Consider the following 9,709-nt stretch of genomic DNA (forward strand, 5'->3'; position numbering starts at 1 on the left):
CCTGCTCTCAACCCAGGGAAGCCCAGGTGCCCAGATGTGACGCCACTGACTTGAGCATTAGTGGTTAGAGAGAAGCGAGGTTTTCGGTCTGAGGGGCGGCTTGAGATCGGTGGAGGGAAGCGGGCCCAGGCTCTGTAAGGAGGCAAGGTGACATGCTGAGGGAGGACTGAGGACCCACTTACCCCAGATAGAGGACCCCAAATAATCCCTTCATGCCAGTCCTGGACCATCTGGTGGTGGACTTCTCAGGCTGGGCCACCCCCAGCCCCCTTGCTGCTTAAACCACTGGGGACTCTGAAGTCAGAGCTCGTGTGATCAGGGAAGGGCTGCTTAGGAGAGGGCAGCGTCCAGGCTCTGCCAGACATCATGCTCAGGATTCTCAAGGAGGGCTGAGGGTCCCTAAGACCCCACTCCCGTGACCCAACCCCCACTCCAATGCTCACTCCCGTGACCCAACCCCCTCTTCATTGTCATTCCAACCCCCACCCCACATCCCCCACCCCATCCCTCAACCCTGATGCCCATCCGCCCAGCCATTCCACCCTCACCCCCACCCCCACCCCCACGCCCACTCCCACCCCCACCCAGGCAGGATCCGGTTCCCGCCAGGAAACATCCGGGTGCCCGGATGTGACGCCACTGACTTGCGCATTGTGGGGCAGAGAGAAGCGAGGTTTCCATTCTGAGGGACGGCGTAGAGTTCGGCCGAAGGAACCTGACCCAGGCTCTGTGAGGAGGCAAGGTGAGAGGCTGAGGGAGGACTGAGGACCCCGCCACTCCAAATAGAGAGCCCCAAATATTCCAGCGCCGCCCTTGCTGCCAGCCCTGGCCCACCCGCGGGAAGACGTCTCAGCCTGGGCTGCCCCCAGACCCCTGCTCCAAAAGCCTTGAGAGACACCAGGTTCTTCTCCCCAAGCTCTGGAATCAGAGGTTGCTGTGACCAGGGCAGGACTGGTTAGGAGAGGGCAGGGCACAGGCTCTGCCAGGCATCAAGATCAGCACCCAAGAGGGAGGGCTGTGGGCCCCCAAGACTGCACTCCAATCCCCACTCCCACCCCATTCGCATTCCCATTCCCCACCCAACCCCCATCTCCTCAGCTACACCTCCACCCCCATCCCTACTCCTACTCCGTCACCTGACCACCACCCTCCAGCCCCAGCACCAGCCCCAACCCTTCTGCCACCTCACCCTCACTGCCCCCAACCCCACCCTCATCTCTCTCATGTGCCCCACTCCCATCGCCTCCCCCATTCTGGCAGAATCCGGTTTGCCCCTGCTCTCAACCCAGGGAAGCCCTGGATGGCCCGATGTGAAACCACTGACTTGAACCTCACAGATCTGAGAGAAGCCAGGTTCATTTAATGGTTCTGAGGGGCGGCTTGAGATCCACTGAGGGGAGTGGTTTTAGGCTCTGTGAGGAGGCAAGGTGAGATGCTGAGGGAGGACTGAGGAGGCACACACCCCAGGTAGATGGCCCCAAAATGATCCAGTACCACCCCTGCTGCCAGCCCTGGACCACCCGGCCAGGACAGATGTCTCAGCTGGACCACCCCCCGTCCCGTCCCACTGCCACTTAACCCACAGGGCAATCTGTAGTCATAGCTTATGTGACCGGGGCAGGGTTGGTCAGGAGAGGGCAGGGCCCAGGCATCAAGGTCCAGGCATCCGCCCGGCATTAGGGTCAGGACCCTGGGAGGGAACTGAGGGTTCCCCACCCACACCTGTCTCCTCATCTCCACCGCCACCCCACTCACATTCCCATACCTACCCCCTACCCCCAACCTCATCTTGTCAGAATCCCTGCTGTCAACCCACGGAAGCCACGGGAATGGCGGCCAGGCACTCGGATCTTGACGTCCCCATCCAGGGCTGATGGAGGGAAGGGGCTTGAACAGGGCCTCAGGGGAGCAGAGGGAGGGCCCTACTGCGAGATGAGGGAGGCCTCAGAGGACCCAGCACCCTAGGACACCGCACCCCTGTCTGAGACTGAGGCTGCCACTTCTGGCCTCAAGAATCAGAATGATGGGGACTCAGATTAGCATGGGGGTGGGACCCAGGCCTGCAAGGCTTACGCGGAGGAAGAGGAGGGAGGACTCAGGGGACCTTGGAATCCAGATCAGTGTGGACCTCGGCCCTGAGAGGTCCAGGGCACGGTGGCCACATATGGCCCATATTTCCTGCATCTTTGAGGTGACAGGACAGAGCTGTGGTCTGAGAAGTGGGGCCTCAGGTCAACAGAGGGAGGAGTTCCAGGATCCATATGGCCCAAGATGTGCCCCCTTCATGAGGACTGGGGATATCCCCGGCTCAGAAAGAAGGGACTCCACACAGTCTGGCTGTCCCCTTTTAGTAGCTCTAGGGGGACCAGATCAGGGATGGCGGTATGTTCCATTCTCACTTGTACCACAGGCAGGAAGTTGGGGGGCCCTCAGGGAGATGGGGTCTTGGGGTAAAGGGGGGATGTCTACTCATGTCAGGGAATTGGGGGTTGAGGAAGCACAGGCGCTGGCAGGAATAAAGATGAGTGAGACAGACAAGGCTATTGGAATCCTCACCCCAGAACCAAAGGGGTCAGCCCTGGACACCTCACCCAGGATGTGGCTTCTTTTCACTCCTGTTTCCAGATCTGGGGCAGGTGAGGACCTCATTCTCAGAGGGTGACTCAGGTCAACGTAGGGACCCCCATCTGGTCTAAAGACAGAGCGGTCCCAGGATCTGCCATGCGTTCGGGTGAGGAACATGAGGGAGGACTGAGGGTACCCCAGGACCAGAACACTGAGGGAGACTGCACAGAAATCAGCCCTGCCCCTGCTGTCACCCCAGAGAGCATGGGCTGGGCCGTCTGCCGAGGTCCTTCCGTTATCCTGGGATCATTGATGTCAGGGACGGGGAGGCCTTGGTCTGAGAAGGCTGCGCTCAGGTCAGTAGAGGGAGCGTCCCAGGCCCTGCCAGGAGTCAAGGTGAGGACCAAGCGGGCACCTCACCCAGGACACATTAATTCCAATGAATTTTGATATCTCTTGCTGCCCTTCCCCAAGGACCTAGGCACGTGTGGCCAGATGTTTGTCCCCTCCTGTCCTTCCATTCCTTATCATGGATGTGAACTCTTGATTTGGATTTCTCAGACCAGCAAAAGGGCAGGATCCAGGCCCTGCCAGGAAAAATATAAGGGCCCTGCGTGAGAACAGAGGGGGTCATCCACTGCATGAGAGTGGGGATGTCACAGAGTCCAGCCCACCCTCCTGGTAGCACTGAGAAGCCAGGGCTGTGCTTGCGGTCTGCACCCTGAGGGCCCGTGGATTCCTCTTCCTGGAGCTCCAGGAACCAGGCAGTGAGGCCTTGGTCTGAGACAGTATCCTCAGGTCACAGAGCAGAGGATGCACAGGGTGTGCCAGCAGTGAATGTTTGCCCTGAATGCACACCAAGGGCCCCACCTGCCACAGGACACATAGGACTCCACAGAGTCTGGCCTCACCTCCCTACTGTCAGTCCTGTAGAATCGACCTCTGCTGGCCGGCTGTACCCTGAGTACCCTCTCACTTCCTCCTTCAGGTTTTCAGGGGACAGGCCAACCCAGAGGACAGGATTCCCTGGAGGCCACAGAGGAGCACCAAGGAGAAGATCTGTAAGTAGGCCTTTGTTAGAGTCTCCAAGGTTCAGTTCTCAGCTGAGGCCTCTCACACACTCCCTCTCTCCCCAGGCCTGTGGGTCTTCATTGCCCAGCTCCTGCCCACACTCCTGCCTGCTGCCCTGACGAGAGTCATCATGTCTCTTGAGCAGAGGAGTCTGCACTGCAAGCCTGAGGAAGCCCTTGAGGCCCAACAAGAGGCCCTGGGCCTGGTGTGTGTGCAGGCTGCCACCTCCTCCTCCTCTCCTCTGGTCCTGGGCACCCTGGAGGAGGTGCCCACTGCTGGGTCAACAGATCCTCCCCAGAGTCCTCAGGGAGCCTCCGCCTTTCCCACTACCATCAACTTCACTCGACAGAGGCAACCCAGTGAGGGTTCCAGCAGCCGTGAAGAGGAGGGGCCAAGCACCTCTTGTATCCTGGAGTCCTTGTTCCGAGCAGTAATCACTAAGAAGGTGGCTGATTTGGTTGGTTTTCTGCTCCTCAAATATCGAGCCAGGGAGCCAGTCACAAAGGCAGAAATGCTGGAGAGTGTCATCAAAAATTACAAGCACTGTTTTCCTGAGATCTTCGGCAAAGCCTCTGAGTCCTTGCAGCTGGTCTTTGGCATTGACGTGAAGGAAGCAGACCCCACCGGCCACTCCTATGTCCTTGTCACCTGCCTAGGTCTCTCCTATGATGGCCTGCTGGGTGATAATCAGATCATGCCCAAGACAGGCTTCCTGATAATTGTCCTGGTCATGATTGCAATGGAGGGCGGCCATGCTCCTGAGGAGGAAATCTGGGAGGAGCTGAGTGTGATGGAGGTGTATGATGGGAGGGAGCACAGTGCCTATGGGGAGCCCAGGAAGCTGCTCACCCAAGATTTGGTGCAGGAAAAGTACCTGGAGTACCGGCAGGTGCCGGACAGTGATCCCGCACGCTATGAGTTCCTGTGGGGTCCAAGGGCCCTCGCTGAAACCAGCTATGTGAAAGTCCTTGAGTATGTGATCAAGGTCAGTGCAAGAGTTCGCTTTTTCTTCCCATCCCTGCGTGAAGCAGCTTTGAGAGAGGAGGAAGAGGGAGTCTGAGCATGAGTTGCAGCCAAGGCCAGTGGGAGGGGGACTGGGCCAGTGCACCTTCCAGGGCCGCGTCCAGCAGCTTCCCCTGCCTCGTGTGACATGAGGCCCATTCTTCACTCTGAAGAGAGCGGTCAGTGTTCTCAGTAGTAGGTTTCTGTTCTATTGGGTGACTTGGAGATTTATCTTTGTTCTCTTTTGGAATTGTTCAAATGTTTTTTTTTAAGGGATGGTTGAATGAACTTCAGCATCCAAGTTTATGAATGACAGCAGTCACACAGTTCTGTGTATATAGTTTAAGGGTAAGAGTCTTGTGTTTTATTCAGATTGGGAAATCCATTCTATTTTGTGAATTGGGATAATAACAGCAGTGGAATAAGTACTTAGAAATGTGAAAAATGAGCAGTAAAATAGATGAGATAAAGAACTAAAGAAATTAAGAGATAGTCAATTCTTGCCTTATACCTCAGTCTATTCTGTAAAATTTTTAAAGATATATGCATACCTGGATTTCCTTGGCTTCTTTGAGAATGTAAGAGAAATTAAATCTGAATAAAGAATTCTTCCTGTTCACTGGCTCTTTTCTTCTCCATGCACTGAGCATCTGCTTTTTGGAAGGCCCTGGGTTAGTAGTGGAGATGCTAAGGTAAGCCAGACTCATACCCACCCATAGGGTCGTAGAGTCTAGGAGCTGCAGTCACGTAATCGAGGTGGCAAGATGTCCTCTAAAGATGTAGGGAAAAGTGAGAGAGGGGTGAGGGTGTGGGGCTCCGGGTGAGAGTGGTGGAGTGTCAATGCCCTGAGCTGGGGCATTTTGGGCTTTGGGAAACTGCAGTTCCTTCTGGGGGAGCTGATTGTAATGATCTTGGGTGGATCCAGGGCCAGATTCTCAGACGGTGAGAGAAAAGCCTGGAATGGAAAGCTGCTCTGAGGAGTTTCTTTCGGATGGTGGATGAACAGAGGAGTCTCCACCTGAGCAGGATTGGAAAGTGTCCTATGCTTTTGTGCCAGTGCTTCTGAACACAGCGCAAGAGCTGCGTGATGGACACTCATCATCCGAAAGCATTTCCTGAGAGAGAAGCGTGAATCTCCCCGGAAGGGAGACCCAGAAGCCACTGGCCAGGCACTTTTCTGCCTGGCTGGGAGGACCAGGGCTGACTCTATTAAAAAGGCATCCTAATGAGGTTATCTCACGTGCAATTTGGCCAGTCGTAAGCAAGATTTCGTGTGGTGACAAAATGAATGAAAATAGTGGTTTGGATGGAAAGGTCTGTGGGAGAGAGGAAAGGAGTTGGTTTTTGACTCAAATTCTACGATCTTTGAGCTGCATCTGGCTAGGGAAACTCACATACCCAAATTTTGAAGTTCATTCTCTAAGAGGAAATACTTTACTGAATTTTATGGATGAAACTTCCCTCTTTGGTTAATTATTCCATGTCCTATTAAGTTGTATATTCTCTGATAAGTCCTGGAGAACAACAACAACAAAATCCCAGAGTGGTAGAGTCTGGGCTCAAATAATATTAGCAATAACAGCCACCTGCTAGCCATTAAACTTGTAATTTACTCCAGGCCCTGAGCCAGGTGCTTCACTTGCATGGCACACACTCCACCAGTCCTAGCGGAAGGGTCTAATCACACCTACTACACAGATGTAGAACCAGAGGCACGCAAGGCTTGGGTATTTCCCAGGATCACACGCCTAGTAAGGGACAGGGCTGGAACCGGATCCTGGACCTGAATTCCTGCAGAGCCCATGTTGTTCCCACTCCTCCCAGCCCGTGGCCCACCTCCTGAGTAATACTTCCTTTCTCTTCTCAACACTGTGCCGTATGTCTCTGGTGACAAAAAGAAGGACCCCGAGGCCAGCGTACTAAAAACAGGCCTGGGGAAGGTGACAGTGAGAATGAAACACCATTTGAGGCTGGTGTGCACTGGGTTCCTTGACAGCTGACTCTGCCAAGGTGTGGGCATTTCTGTCAGTCCCAGCACTTTCCCGAATTGCAGTGAGTTTCCCCTGGCCACTTCCATGTGTCCTGTCTCACTCTGGAACACGGGTTGCTGACCAGCTTGTCACTAGTCCCCACAGAACAGCCCAGAATCACCTGCTCACCCCATGACAGGCCACATTCCTTTTCCTTGTAGAAGTCCTCTGGATGTCCCATCTCTCACCCAGGAAGCTATGTGATATCAACACCCCTTTTGAATTCCCATGGGATAGTGATGTTTACACACCTGGTTACCACTCTGCTTATCTTCAGTACACTGTCCAAGTGCTTTATGAATGTGCTGAGTAGAGTCTGATTCGCCATATTATCTAAGCGTTCTTGGGATGTCGCCATGAAATTAGAAGGTTTTGGAACCACCTTGATACTTGAAATTGGACTTTATCAGGGTGTCTTATTTGGAGTTTACCTCTGAGCACATACACAGATGAATGCTTTAAAACCAAAGCCTCCCTCATGAGTATTAGATGAGGGGAAGCTTTGGAAATCAGTGGAACAAACATCTACTTACTGAACTCCTAAATCCCTGGAGGCCCTGATTCCTTGAAGACACTTCTGCTCTGATGGAAAACGAATAATTAAGCAGCTTTCTACTGCTGCTTGTCTGTTTAACTGCCTCGCAGGAAAATACTGGCTTTCAGTGTGCCTAGAGACACCTGACACGAGTTCAGACATGTGGAGGGTAGCAGAAACTCACAGGTTAAGATTTTGACCTGGAATCAAATGGACAAAAAAATTGCAGTCTACTCAGGATTCAAAGGGTCATGCAAAGGGAAGGCTTCCTGCTGAGACTTTCAAGATTCTTGGACAGTTAGTTGTGATCCTATATTTGAAAGCATTGTTCACATATTAGGCACTGGAAACAAGTTGGAGAACTTCAAGCCAAATGTGGCCTTTTCCGAAACTCCTTTGAGAAATGAGAAGGGTAGTGTAATGCCAAATACTACCAAATAATCATAATTGCTTTATTTATTTACTTATGAGGGATTCTCGCTCTGTTGCCCCGGTTGGAGTGCAGTGGCATGATCTCAGCTCACTGCAACCTCCGCCTCCTGGGTTCTAGCAATTCTCCTGCCTCAGCCTCCTGAGTAGCTGGGATTATAGGCACCCGCCACCATGCCCACCTAATTTTTGTATTTTAGTAGAGATGGGGTTTCGCCATGTTGACCAGGCTGGTCTCGAACTCCTGACCTCAAGTGATCCACCTGCCTTAGCTTTTCGTTGTGCAGCTACTAAGTAACAGTTTATGGGGGAGACTATAATGCTCACCCACATCTTGTCTCCTTCCCCTTTCTGGACACATGGGAACAGTAAGGCCCACTTACAGTTAGGAAGGGTCACGTGACTTTTCCTTGCCACCAAAACATGAACAGAGGTGTTTGTCACATCCCGGCATGTGAGAGCCAGTGTGCCATTTCCACACTTTCTCCCTCCTTTCAATGGTAAACAGGGCAGCTTCATTTTGACATGATGGAATCATAAGGTGGAAGCAGCCCGGATCCCTGGGTCATGTGAGAGTGAGGAGCCCCTGCCAAACCGCATCAGAACTTAGGTGCGCATATAATACACTTGAGTTGTGTCAGGCTATTCACATTTCAGGACTTGTCTGTTGCATTAACTAGTAGTTACTTAAACTGACAGAGCTACTCTTTCTGTTGTTAGGTATAAATATTTTTACTTAAAAGGTTGTACTGTGTATATTCTTAGGGCAAAAAATATAGAAATATAGATAATACACAAATTTCCCCTTTACAAAGTTCCTCCACAGTTTAACCCGCTCCTCAGAGGTCACCACAATGATCAGTCTTGTGTATTATTTTACAGCTGACTACAGGCTTTTCATGGACAGATAAAGTACAGCAATATGTCGTTTTTATTTAACATGCAAGAAGAGTGATGTACATATTGAACTGCAACTAACCTTTGTCAGTTTATAAAATGGATGCGGGATCTTTCTAAACAATACATATATAGATCTATCTCACTTTTCAAATTACATTCTATAATTCTAAAGTAGGCATACACCATAATTAATTAAACTCTTTCTGAAAGACACATAAGTTGTTTCTCATTTGCTATATGATGACTAGAATAAGATCAACATCTTTGAGTATAAATTTTTGGGCAAGCATGAGTGTTTTCTTATAAGAAAGATGTATAACATGGACATCGGGTTAAAGTGAAAAGGGTGGCAGACTGAACAGGTGCCAGGGAAGGACAGCAGACAGGAGATCCTCAGCCCGTGAGGGGCACTGGGAGGATCCAGGGGAGAGCAATTGCCAGCGTCCATGAGAGAGACCACATGTGAAACCAAGTCCACAGAGCCCCAGGCAGGCTGGCATTCACAGCTGTGAATCCAGAGTTCAGCCCAGTGGGGGCAGGGACCTGAGGAAGGCAAGGCGGAAGGGAGGAGGGAGGACAGGACAATGAACAGAAATAGTCTTGGGAAATCCAGGCACCATCATCACCAGCTGGAGGGGGTCGTGTGATCCGAATGGGCAGGCCTATTGGCTGAATGCACCAGCGGCATGCTGGACACCCCACCCTGCCTCAGACTCCCCTTCCTTCTCTCAGCAAGAGCTTGGCTGGCTCCCTGCATCATCCTGGGCTAGCTCCCTCTCCTGACCCCTCCAGTGGTCCTGTGCACCTTTGCCAGCGTTCCAGGGCTGGAAGCTGTCTTCATGCCTGCTGGGGGCTGGAGTTTTATCCCCTGGGGACCGTCCATAGAGGCTGGGCTATGTGAGTGGGTTGCTGACTGATGACCAACTGCCGAGATGGGCCAGGAATGCCAATGAGCCGTTGAAGGGGGCATGTGGCCACATGGAGGGGAAATTGGAGGAAGAGTGCCCTGAGACTAATCAGTCGAGACTCTGCAGATGAAGGGCTGGGTGTGGACGTGCGCTGAAAATGATCCAGGTGGTGACCCTGCCTCAGATGGACTCCTGTGGCTTCTGAGCTCTTGGCGCACAAGGGAGCAGGTGTCCCGGCGCTGTGATTGCTGGCCTGTGTTGCCCTCACA

The 9,709-nt window shown here is 52.5% G+C and overlaps 1 protein-coding gene across 1 annotated transcript; it reads left to right on the forward strand.

The window, feature by feature from the left end:
• MAGEA1 (MAGE family member A1) lies at positions 661-5,257 on the forward strand. Its single transcript, NM_004988.5, has 3 exons — positions 661-742; positions 3,554-3,626; positions 3,702-5,257. Exon 3 carries the CDS (start codon positions 3,767-3,769, stop codon positions 4,694-4,696), a length of 930 nt encoding a protein of 309 aa, NP_004979.3. The 5' UTR covers positions 661-742; positions 3,554-3,626; positions 3,702-3,766; the 3' UTR covers positions 4,697-5,257.

Source organism: Homo sapiens, chromosome X (genome assembly GCF_000001405.40).
Source record: "Homo sapiens chromosome X, GRCh38.p14 Primary Assembly".
Taxonomy (NCBI): domain Eukaryota; kingdom Metazoa; phylum Chordata; class Mammalia; order Primates; family Hominidae; genus Homo; species Homo sapiens.

What these genes read in the sequence shown, in the direction of transcription:
- MAGEA1 (NM_004988.5), top strand. Translation starts at nt 3,767, where the DNA reads ATGTCTCTTGAGCAGAGGAGTCTGCACTGCAAGCCTGAGGAAGCCCTT.